Source organism: Homo sapiens, chromosome 21, assembly GCF_000001405.40.
Source record: "Homo sapiens chromosome 21, GRCh38.p14 Primary Assembly".
In the NCBI taxonomy this organism is placed as follows: domain Eukaryota; kingdom Metazoa; phylum Chordata; class Mammalia; order Primates; family Hominidae; genus Homo; species Homo sapiens.
In genome coordinates, this window is record NC_000021.9 from 19,272,521 (window position 1) to 19,285,943 (window position 13,423).

Below are 13,423 nucleotides of genomic sequence, written 5' to 3' on the forward strand. Positions count from 1 at the left end.
ACAGAGTACAAGTGTTAGGCAACCAATTGACAGTTGCCTAAAGAAAATACATAATTTACAAAAGTTGCCTTTGGAAATAATCTACAAAATCACAATGGTTTAACTCAACAGAGGTTTATTTCTTTCTTACTTGAAATAAAAATTGTTATTCTTGATGAGCAAGAAGTACTTCTCCAAGCAGTAATTCAGGTACCCCAAGTTTTTCTCACCTTTAGTTCCATTGTCTTTAGCGTCTAGATTTTAATAATTCTGTGCTTATCTGTATCAAGCAAGAGGAGGAAAGAACTAGGAGATTTGCTGGCGACATGTTTCTGCAGACTGGGCCTTAGCGTGGCACACATTGCAACATGCATGTTGTACATCCCCACGTAATTGAGACTGAGAATGTGGTATAGCTATGCTTCCAGAAAGAGCAGGTAAAGGGTTTGGAGGTGAACACATTGTAGATGACTACAGACTATCCTTCTGGTCAGGAAATATGCTTTACAGAAAAAGCTAATGGACCAAAACATTATTACTGACTCTAGCAACTCTTCCTACTCCTCTTGTAAAACTGAAATTGATCAAAGAGTGTCTGTTAAACTGTGGCCCTAGTTTTGCAGTTGCTGAATGCTGTCCCATGTCTAATGCAATCTAAATTTCTCACATCTGACAACATTTTGAATAGTGAGAAATTATTGAAATAAAACTCAGTCTATCTGACCTTTCCCAGTTTAAGCTCTAAATTCTTTGGAATACTTTCTGTCTACAGAATAGTCCTCTTGGACTGTCCTCGCATTGCAATGTTTTAATACAAGCTTAATGGCTTCTTTTCCCCATAGATTATACTTTTTTTGTGTCTGTTTCCACATATGGCTGCACTTGCCATGAGTGTTTGGGAGACTAAGAGCTTTTGTTTTATTTTGTTTTTTTCCTAACACCCCAAAAGCTAAAGATATTTATAGTTTAAGTTTGTGTAATTTTTGGACAGGCAATTTTCTTGATTATTAGGATTCTCATTTTTGCTTCTAATCAGACCATGTAAGAGGGATATACCCACAATTTGCCTTAGATATAACTTCCAAGCCTGCTTTATTTCCGAAGCCATATCTCATGGTTTCTCATTTTAATGGCAGCTAACTTAAGACTACCCGTGACATTAGTTTGTGAGTAGGCAGAGGTACTCTATTAATCTGATCTTTGCAACAGACCTGAGTCCTCATCATCCTCTCCTCCTCCAGTTTCTTTTCAGAGTTATCTCTTACTGTTTGGTATCTAAAGGCATTTCCTTTTCCAAAGGCTTCATTGCTCAAAATCTCTAGATGTTTGTTATGCCTTTCTCTCTTTTTCTAGCAAAACAGCCAATTATTTATTGAAATAGTCACTCCACACAATGCCTTCCTAAAAAAGGACAAATTAAATATCAACACCATTACTCTTTTATAAACCATTTTCCTCATAACTAAAGTAGTGGCTGTCAGTGTTTCGGTTGTCTTAACGCTAAACAATTTTTCATATTTTAGAAATGTATTGCAGCCTGACTACCCTCCTGGGGCAAATTTGATATTACATGTATAAACCTTACAGCTGAAAATTTAATAATAATAAAAAAAAACCTGAGTGGCTTATTCATCTGAAGGCCAAATGGAACTGCTTGATCAAGAGATCCAGGTCCTGATGTTTTTCTTTCTTTCTTTTCTTTTTTTTTTTCTTTTCTTTCTTTTTTTTATTTTTTTGAGACCGAGTCTCGCTCTGTCGTCCAGGCAGGGGTGTAATCGCATGATCTTGGCTCACTGCAACCTTTGCCTCCCGGATTCAAGTGATTCTCCAACCTTAGCCTCCTGAGTAGCTGGGACTACAGGCACTCGCCATCATGCCCAGCTAATTTTTGTATTTTTGTAGAGATGGGGTTTCACCATGTTTTGAACTAATTCAATTTTAGGCTCCAAATTTGTATGTATCAAATTAGAAGCAGTAAAGTACATGGCAGATAACTCTGTCAGGTAATTGGTTATGGACACATGTATCTATAAGGGAGGCTTAGAATTATAGTTCTAGCCGTAAGTCCCAAAAGTGCAAATAGGTTTTGGTGAACACATAGCAGCCTCTGCACGTTGGAGAAAATATCAGTTTTGAGCATGTACATATGCATAGACTAATAAGTTTCTATTAAGAGTCCTAAATTCTCTCAGAGGGCCAATATCTCACAAAAGGCTTTTATTAGACATGTGCTTCCTCTACACAGAGTAAATGTACTTGAATTTAAAGTGTCTGTAGAGATTGTTGAGTAATCTAAAATTTGCCTGTTTACATTGCCATATTTAGAGAAATCCAAGTTCAGTGAGATGAATAGGAAAGATATGCTCAAGTTACTGTACTTCAAATGTATACTGATCTTCTTTCACTTGTTTTCATCTAAGCCTACATTTGTCTTCTTAGAGTTCTAAGGTAAGGAACCAGAATTACTCTCAGTAATGTTGAAAGTGAGATTTAATAGTGTGGTATGGATAGTTGCAATAGGAAAAGACTTTTAAGTAATGAGGAAAAAATGTCAGGTAAGACTCAACTTCTCCTTTTTCTCATATTACATAATCAAGGAAAGGTTTAATATCAGCTGGATCAGAAATTCAGTAATACTCACTTTCAGAAGAAAGTGGTATATTGCCATGTGATGCATTCAAACTGCATAACTTTCAGGATTCACGCAGTAGGAACTAAGAATAAGACTACAGAATAGTGAAAGTATCATTCACAAACAAAATGCTGAGTAATTTGGAAAGACAAATATGTCTATAACTAGTACAGTCTGACAAGGGCTGTTATGATATACAGGTATAGATCAATTAGAAAGAGCATAAAGAAAGAAGAAGGGCTACAACATCAAAAATAGCACATATATTTTCCTCAGAGTTAAAGAGCCGTAGAGGTAATCAACATTGCATGATAGACAATCCCTGATAGTACTTGTAGTTTGTGTGCGCATTTCATTCAAACTTTGGTTTCTGATATTCCTAATATGTGAAGCCACATTTTAGCCTAAAAATAAAAAGAATCACTGAATATATTTAAAGGAAATAGAAATGCCTAATTATGTTTGTACCTAAAATGTTGGGGCCCAAAGTAATAAGATGAATTATACAACAACCTTATTTAATGAAGATTCAGTAGCAATTTCTTATTTTTGGTGTTGCTGAATATTCTGTTTTCACTCCCCCAAAGTTAGAGGACATAGTAGCACTCTCCTTTTGCTTCCTTATTAAAAAGATAAATTACTATCTCATCCCACAGAGAATATTGTAACTAACTTTATTTTTTAAATCATCAAATACATCTCAAATCATAATAAGTGTAGTGCATATAAGAGGCAGTAAAATGCTGAGCTGCCTTAAACTATTACATTTTAAACTCATAGAAACTCTGAAATATTCTAAATTATTATGCCAAAAATCATGCCAATTAATCAGTATAATTGGATAGCCTCAATTAAGAAAAATAAAATTATAGAAAACACAGAAAATTAGAAATAACTGTAAGTATTCTTTCTTGAAGTGGAGAAAACTTCTCATTAGATATTTATACTATTCTAGACTCTGTTGACATTATTACTTATTATTGAAGAAAATCTCAGAAATAGACATGTTTTATTTTAACAGCAGTAAAATGCAGAAATAAAGAATGTAATAGATTTATTTCATTTTCCAAGTGGCTTCATCTCAAGACAATTCAGCATCATGTAAATGTAACAGTAATATGCCTTTTCCCAAAACACACTGAGTCTTCTTATCTCTAAAACTGATTCCTTTAAACTTTTAAAGTTTTCACTCTAAGACAAGATGATTAAGGGTAAAGCGATATTAATGCTTCTTGGAAACGATCGTATCACTTTCCCTGACCTTCAAATTACATATATCATTTGTCTTTGGCAAAACTACACCATTGCTCAATGTTGTGGACAGCAAAATTAATCTGGCATTATTAATAACATCAGCAATGAAATAAAAAGTTAACTGAGCTTACATTTTTTATAACCCCAGGAGTTTTAAAACCATGTTAAGAGCTTTAGTGTGATGACAGAAAATTTGTGCTGTGGCATAAATGATATGACAAGTCAAACAAAACATATCATTGAAAAGACTATATTAATTCAGCAATATTTTTATTGTATTTTGAATACATTTTATACTACGGTTAGGAAAAAAAAAAACAACTCCAGCTGTTTTTCCTCTGCTCTCACATCACAGCAATCAACATAAGACTTATATGACAAGATGTGTAGGGATCTCTCCCTACCAGCAAGCAAGCAATCAATTATTCAGCCAACACCAGCTTGCTGTCCTCCATTTGTCTTCTGACTATTTCTCTGGGGATAGCATCAGATTCCACAGGCCCAGTCGCACAAGACTGCCCCCACTTCCAATGTCAATCACAAGCCCCAGGTTGTTTAACTTGTGCTTCTAACCAACCGCCTGTAAATTGGTATTCCCACAACCCCCTCCTTGGGTTTGATAAACTTGTTAGAGCAGCTTACTGAACTCCAGGAAACGGGTTTATTACAAAAGATATTCCAAAGGGTGCAGATGAAGAGATGCATAGGGAAAGGTATGAGGGAAGGCTCACAAAGCTTCAATGTTCTCTCCGGCCTTGCTATCTTCCAGGAACCTCCACATGTTCCGTTTTCTGGAAGCTCTTCAAACTCTTTCCTCTTGGGCCTTCTATGGAAATTTCATTGAATAGGCATGACTGAAGCATGAACAACTGTGTACAAATGCAATTGGACAAAGGGGTATAATCTAATAGTCACAGACTGAGTGGGAAAATCCAGCAAGGTCTGTCGGTGGAGATTTCATCTTGGCCTCTGTGCAGCATTCCTTTCTCCATGGTATGGCACAGGACCGCCTCTGAAATGCAGCTCATATGACCTATGATCAAACAAGGTAGGTTAGAGAAATTTTTGTATGGCCAGCTCCAAGGTACAAAGGTAGGGGAAGATTTCTACCCTTTGGAGAAAAAGGAGCAGGTAAAAGGAGGACTGGAGAAAGTCAGAAAGAGAAATTCTGTTTTCTGAGGCCTGCTTCTGGGGCCCAAAGTGCCCCAACATTATAAGAAAAGACTAATGAGAGCTTTGAGAGTCATGAGCCAGGATGTGTGGATAGAAACATATTTAAATATTCTCCATCTCCTAATATAACGATGTGAAAAGGGAAATAAATTGGAACCACAAGAAATAGTGGCAAAGGTTTGGAAAGCTTAAGTCAAAATGTGTTGTTCATAAATACGGTCTGAATAATTTGAACATTTTCTGTTAATGGTATTTGTTCAACTATAATGATATTTTCCAGCCAAGATATAATTGGCAATGTCAAAGTCACACACAGATGGGTAAAATGGCCAATGTCTCTGGAAAATCTTGATAATAACTTTTTAGTATCTCTGGTGCAAGGTCACTTAAATTCAGAAAATAGCACCCAAGGAAAAAATAGCCATATTCAAAAAAATAAGCTCCATATATTTAGATGTAGATATAAATTTGGGGTGATTTATTTCTTATTAGACACTAATATTTTTTAAAACAGAGAATGACAAATAAGGAAATTTTGCAGTTAACTATGTCCTAATGAAAAAGGGTAGTAGTTTTACAAGAAAGATATAATTCATCAAAAAGGCAGGGAAGCATTCAGACTAAACATTGAGTATGTTTGGAAATAATAAAAATTATTGTTTCTTTTACCAACATCAACAATCTTTTCAAATTAATTTATAAAACTGTCATCTCTGTTCACTAATTTTGAATTACTCATATTATTTTTAATTTTGAATACTTATAATATTACTTACTAATTTTTAATTAATTTTGATATACCTATATCACTGTTTTGAATTGATCTATGAATGATCTAGAAATGACTTTGCCTGTTTTTTTTTTTGACTCATGGGTATTTACTTTTCATTAGGTAATTTTAATGTATTGTTAACTAGAAAAATAAGATGAAGAAAAAAACATTTTAAATGCAAAATATAAATTTAAAGAACTTCAAAAGAATAAAATTTCAGTTTTATGTCTTTCAAGTAAATTTGCTGTTTTCAAAATTATTTTTTGTTACAAACCTATTTTATTTCAAAAAATATGCTATTGTTTTTAACCTATAATTTTTAAATATCTGACAGCATTGTAGGACTTAAAGCTATTAAATATATAAAGATATAATAGAACTTATTGGAAATATTCAAGGAAAAACTAACATATTCTTTAAAAACATTTTAATTTTTAAATTCTATGTTAATTGACTTTTTGATACATATTTTACTTTTCCTTCACTTCTTTTGTCAATTCTTAAAAATGTCTTTCTTCATAATTTTTGGCAATTAGTTTTTACACTTTAATAGCAAACATTGCCATAAAAGTGAAATTAAGCATTAATTAATTTTATGTCTGCAGGCAGAGTGATTTCCTTAGGGAATCAATTTTAATAGAGAGAACTATGTTTGTACCTGGCAGGATATTCACAGAAATAAAATATTTATTGGCCATCTACTTTGTTTAAGACCTCTTAACAAACCATAACTTATTAAAGCATAAAGTAACATACATAGTAAATACTTTTAAAATCTGTAAACAACTAATTCCTTTCTTCTTGTGAAGTCTTGTTTAGATCATTAAAGTAATAGCAGATTTTCTCACAACAGGTTTGTGAATATTGTCTGTTTAACATGAAAACTATAAAAAAATTAAAGACAATTGATATATATTTATTCAACTATGTCAACTCAAAGATGATCTGCAATTGTTTTCTGAATAACTTATTAATAATGCTTAGGCCCCTTTGTTGAACATGCTTTTATTTGTGTAAATAAGAATTCATTTAAAAATACATTGTACAACTTCAACACATTGTGTGTCCCTGAAGGTACTCTGAGATTTTGCAGTTATAGTATAAATGAGACAAAACGGCAGAGAAAATATTCCCCATGTGTAATTCTTTCTACATTTATTTCCCACATCAATCTCACAAGTGTTTTTATTTCACACTGATTGATATCATTGAGCACATACCTCAATATCTATTATCACAAAAACTATCATTATCAACAAGGACTTTAAAAAATATCTAAACATTATTATCTGGGTAGCAACTCTATACTCCATTTTATCCATTAATTTTGTCTAATTAGTAAAGAAGTACTTATGGTAAAAACAAATTAAAAATAGTACAGAAAACATACTCCTGTATGCAATTATTACAAATATTTTATTTAGTTCCTATAAAGTATTTACATAGCTGAGATCACTATATAATATTATACTCATGTTACTTTATGTCCTAACTTTATATCAGAAAAAGCTTCCCATACTAATAAATGTAAACTACTGTCAAAGAATCTATGATACCTACTCAATAATGTTTACATGAATAAATATGATTTATGTAAGCATTATCTTGCAGATGGACACTTTATTTCTTCCCAAACTTCATAGAGTAATTTTAATGCTACAGTAATGACGTACATACAATTGACCCTTGAACAATGCAAAGCTTAGGGAGGCTTAACCTAACACAGTTGAAAATCCGTGTATACATTTTAACTCTCCAAACACTTAACTAGTAGTAGTCAACTGTTGACCAGAAGCCCTACCGATAATATTAACAGTTAATACATACTTTGTATGTTATATGCATTATATACTGCATTCATAAATAAAGTAAACTAGAGAAAAGAAAATGTTATTAAGAAAATCATAAGAAGGAGAAAATACATTTACTCTTCATTAACTTGAAGTGGATCATCATAAAGGTCATCATCCTTGTTGGTCATAGCTTCACACTGAGTGAGCTAAGTAGGAGAAAGGGATAGAGGAAGGGTTGGTTTTGCTGTAGCTGGGGTGGCAGAAGCTGAAGAAAATTCATGGATAACTGGACCCTTGAAGTTCAAATCTGTGTTGTTCAAGGGTCAGCTGTATATAAATTTTATTTTCATTACTTGGAATTTGGTAAGATTGGCTTACCAGGAGGATAATTACTAAATTAATTTTTATAAATCTTTAAAAGTTGTTAACATATGTTGCCAAATCACTTTCCAGAAAATTACACCAACTTACTCTAACAACAATATATGAGGGTTATAATGTCTTTATCGGGACTGGATATATGTTATTGAAAATACAAAACACATGTTTAATTATTTCTGACACTGTGGCATTCATTATTGCTAATATGAAATACCAGTATAATACATACCTACATCTATATGTCTACATCAAATTCCATTATTTGTGAATTCCATATTTGCAACTTCTCCAAGATGTATTAAATTTATGTGTTATCTCAAAAATCCATACTCACTCATACTTTCCCGGTCTTTTTTTTTAACATGCACAGAATAAAAAAATTTGATTTTCTCAATGTGCATGCCCCCAGTTGAGGTTAAACAAAGTAATACTCTACTTTGTTATTTCATTTTTCATGCTATAAACAAGGATCTTTTTCACAGTCTATTTGGTGCTCTTTGTTGGTGATATGGCTGTTTAAAATGCCTCCCACACCCCAGAATATTGCTAAAGCTCTGTCTATTGTTCCCAAGCACAAGAAGGCTATGATGTGTCTTACAGAGAAAAATATAGTCAACTTCATTTGATGCAGGAGATTGGTTCCAGAAATCCTGGGAATACCCATATCTGGGGATGCTCAAGTTTCTTATATAAAATGGCACAGTATTTGCATACTAGGTATGCAAATCCTCCTATATACTTCAAATAATCTGCAGGTTACTTACAATAAGTAATACAGTGCAAATGCTATATAAGTAGTTGTTATACCATATTTTTAATTGTATTATTTTTCTTGTTGTATTGTTGTTTTTACCCTAATATTTTCAATACACAATAGGTTGAATTCACAGATGTGGGACCTGCAAAGGTTTGATGTTATGTGTGTTAGGTAAGGTTTGTTCAGGCATGCGTTTTAGTGCTGTTGGCTGATGAGAGTTCAATGTTAATAAATCAGCAATATATCTTAAGTAAGGTGTCTCAAAACAGAAGCACACATCAAACAAGATTACATATTGATTAGCTGATGAAAATGTTGTGACCAGAGGCTCACAACAAACTAACCCCGTATTTCCTTTGCAAGCAATGATTTAATATTTGCTAATTTCTTGTTTGCCACAACTTTATAGAACATAAATACTGCAAATAACAAAATTTGACTATTGCTATCTATCCATATATAAACCTAGTCTGCAAAAATAAAGGGGATATTACTCAAGAACTTAAAAGAAAAAGAAACCTGAAAAACAGAATGGTATGCAGATGATGACGTTTTACCTACCGTGGACACAGTAGGAACAAAGCAGCTTATGTATTAGCATCTATGTCACAGGAAATAAGACTCTGGATTTTGCAAGATGATGGACTATAAATAAGAATCCTGGATAAACACAGTACTAAACTGCACACAGGAATGAGGAGCCAGAATGAGTCCATCCACCAGCAAGTATAAAAAATAAAGAAATACGTCTCCTTCCGCCGGGCGCGGTGGCTCACGCCTGTAATCCCAGCACTTTGGGAGGCCGAGGCGGGCGGATCACGAGGTCAGGAGATCGAAACCATCCTGGCTAACACGGTGAAACCCCGTCTCTACTAAAAATACAAAAAATTAGCCGGGCGTGGTGGCGGGCACCTGTAGTCCCAGCTACTTGGGAGGCTGAGGCAAGAGAATGGCTTGAATCCGGGATGCGGAGCTTGCAGTGAGCCGAGATCGCGCCACTGCACTCCAGCCTGGGCGACAGAGTGAGACTCCGTCAAAAAAAAAAAAAAAAAAAAAAAAAAGAAATACGTCTCCTTCAAACTTGATTGAAAATGACTTAATAATAACAACAACAGTAAGGCTCTCTGATAATTAATGAACTTTGGTCTATCATAACCCAGTGTTCAAATTTACATTGCCTTCAAAGACAGGGTAACTCCAGCCTAGACATTTATGGTAACATGGTACATAGCCTGAAGCATCTGAGAGCAATAGAAGCAAAACCTCTTTGGTGTAAACACCCAAAATACAGGTTCAAAACATTCCCATGAACAAAGCCGTATAACATAAACACATTGAAAGACATTGGATTACCAATTAACTATAAGAATAAGAAGAAATATAAATAGCACAATTATATCCAAAACATTCATATAACAAAATTATATATATATAAATTTATTTAAATAAGCATAATTATTAAAGAAGATATTTAAAATACGACCAAGTACAAGCATGGCTTAAAAATAAAAACATTAAAATCTTAAAGATAAAAAAGTTATTGAACTGTAAGCTAGATATGGAAAAAAATTCAGAAAAAAATTAAAAAGTGAAGCAAAGGTTGACAAATATGGAAGCCATAAACCTATGCACTATCATTTGTTCACGTAGATCTCTAAAAGGGAAAGAAAACAAGCATAGAGTTATGAGGCAATATTTCAAAAGTTAACTATTTAGGATATTCCCAACTTCGTAAGGAGATTTGGCTTATTTTTAAAAAAGCACAATTCCAAGCATAACAACACGAAACAGTCATATTCTTCTATACTGAAAGCACATTGAGATACTTGGTAAAACTGCGGAACACTGAAGAAAAAAAGGTCTCTTAAAATTCACCAGAAGTAAAAGACATAATTATAAAAAGATGATACATAGACAGAAAGATAGATTCTCGACAAGATCATGAAGATCATGGAATAAAAAATGAATAGGGGCCAGGCGTGGTGGCTCATGCCTGTAATCCCAACACTTTGGGAGGCCAAGGTGGGCAGATCGCCTGAGGTCAGGAGTTCGAGACCAGCCTGGCTGACATGGTGAAACCCTGTCTCTACCAAAAACACAAAACCTAGCCAGGAGTCATGGTAGATGTTTGTAATCCCTGCTACTTGGAAGGCTGAGGTACGAGAATCGCTTGAACCGAGGAGGTGGAAGTTTCAGTGAGCCGAGATTATGCCACTGCACTCCAGCCTGGGCAACAGAGCAAGACTCCATACCCCCCAAAAAAGAAAAAGTATATATATACACACACACATATTTATATGTACACACATACACACACACACACACACACACACATATATATATGGCACAGCAAGTTTTTATGACAGTAATGAAAAAGGTAAACATAAGTCAAAAGAAAGCTGGTGAATATTAATAACTGTCAGACACAATTAGAAGTACTTCAAAAATTTTAAATGATAAAGATTTCTGCACTGGAACAACAATTTGTCAAGAACATATTCCAAATAATAAGGAACCTAATAATAAGATCTCAAAGATATTTTTAAAATATAATTGTCAAATATTAATTTACATATTAATGTAATTGGCTAAGCTACTACATTTCTTGGATATTTAAACACAGTTGGTCAGTCATTTATATATTTGGTAAACAAAATGAGAAAAAAATAGATTATTTAGGAAACAAAATTTACAACCTGATGATGTATACAGCTGAAACTTTGTACTCAAACCGTTAATCTTTTAAAGTATAGTGAGATTACAGAGTCTGCAACCAAGTTAGAAAATTGGATTTAATGATAAGACTGCCTGCTGCTGTGATCCCAGTGTACAGTGAAATATTGAGTGTGGACCACTAACAATAGGAGCTTTGTACCTGTAAAGAGCCTCTAAAAGTCGGATGTCCCACTGCAAAGCTCTACCTGCTATGCCAGGAATCGATTATGAGTAGCATCTAATTTTTTTGTTCCCAGATAAAATACCATCTGGATGCCTCTGATGGCAGAGTTTAAGTTGCATGTCCCTGCCTTGGCCCAAATTACGTTCTACTTTCTGCCTTTAGGAGGCAGGATTTCTATTAGAAGATGATTCTTCCTGGATCTATCTATCTATCATTGATCTATCTATCCACCTACCTATCTATCTATATTTTTCTAATGTTCCCACAAGGTCCTAACATTCTAAGCAACAAAATCAGCATTCTATAAAGGCAGAACATATCCTTTCTGCCTGAAACATTTGCTCTTTATATTTTGCAGGCATTAAACTTGGAGCTAATATTTTATGATAGAGCCAATACTGATCTCATTCAAAGAGTAATGCTACCTTCTCATCTCTTCTGTTGCCAGATGCTCATGTCCTGGGATAGAGACAAGTCTCCCAATCCCTAAGAAACGATTTGCTTACATTCCATAGTAAAAATAATTGCTCCCTCTTTTTTCAGAGGGGAAGGGGGCAGATATTTCCATACCTATATAAACTCTGAGATTAATAATTTCAGAGTTCCACTCCTTGTGATGTCACTGCATTGTATATACAGGTGTAACCATTTGGTTCTTAGTATTACTCTGTGCAGTGTTGGCTGCTCTTATTGTTGAGAATTATAAAGATCCAACCTGATTCAGAGGATATATATCAAATGGGTAACATCTCAGATGCTTCTCAATTTCTGACTGAACAATTTTAGTTTCATAACCAGAATATTTCTCAAATTATGAGAAATTATTAAAAAGTCCTCCCTCCCTCCCTGCCTGCCTTCCTTCCTTCCTTGATGGAGTCTCGCTCTGTCACAAGGCTGGAGTGCAGTGGTGCGATCTTGGCTCACTGCAACCTCCGCCTCCCGGGTTCAAGCAATTCTCCTGCCTCAGCCTCCAGAGCACCTGGAATACAGGCACACGCCAGCCGCCACGCCCGGCTAATTTCTTTTGTATTTTAGTAGAAACGAGGTTTCACCGTGTTGCCCAGACTGGTCTCGAACTCCTGAGCCCAGGCAGAGAAAGCATTTGATACAATTCAACCAGTTTTAATAAAAATTATTGTCAAACCATAAATAGAGATCAAATTCTGGAATGGATGAAATGTATACACCAAATTCTACAATAATCTAATTCTAAATGTTGGAACATTAGAATAATTCTTAAAACAGGAACAAAATCAATGCTTCTATGCAACAATATAGTGGTGGTCTTATTCAAAAGAGACAAAGGTGTAAGAATACAAAAGAAAACAGCAAACTTTTCATTATTATGAATAATATAATTCTCTCCTTAGATGATTCCATTTCATCTACAAATAAAATGTTAGAATAAATAAGTTTATTAAGTTATTTCAATGTAAAATTAATATGAAAAATTTAATTACATTTTTGTATGCCAGAAGCAATTAGAAAACAAGTATTTTATATAGGACTATTTATAACATGGACCAAGACTATAGAATACCCAGCAATACAAGTAACTAATATGTGTAAGACTACTGGAGAGAAAATAATTTTAAAATTATTTATAGATATTTAAAGATGATCATAATTGAGATTAATATGTTCGAAAGGAGAAGAAAATTCATTTTTTAAATTAATTTATAAAATTTATGAGATTTTAGTTAAAGCTCAGCAGGATGAAGCTTCCCAATTAATTAAAAAATGTGTTTTGAAAAGCAAAAGGAAAACAATAGAAAAAATATTT

The 13,423-nt window shown here is 33.8% G+C and overlaps 1 long non-coding RNA gene across 1 annotated transcript; it reads right to left on the reverse strand.

Annotated features, from left to right (window-relative positions):
* Nucleotides 1-4,118: 4,118 nt before the first annotated feature.
* On the reverse strand, nucleotides 4,119-12,192 carry LOC124905048 (uncharacterized). Its single transcript, XR_007067917.1, has 2 exons — nucleotides 12,066-12,192; nucleotides 4,119-4,898 (listed from the first exon to the last, which is right to left on the reverse strand). It is a non-coding gene; the product is annotated as an uncharacterized LOC124905048 (long non-coding RNA).
* Nucleotides 12,193-13,423: the final 1,231 nt, after the last annotated feature.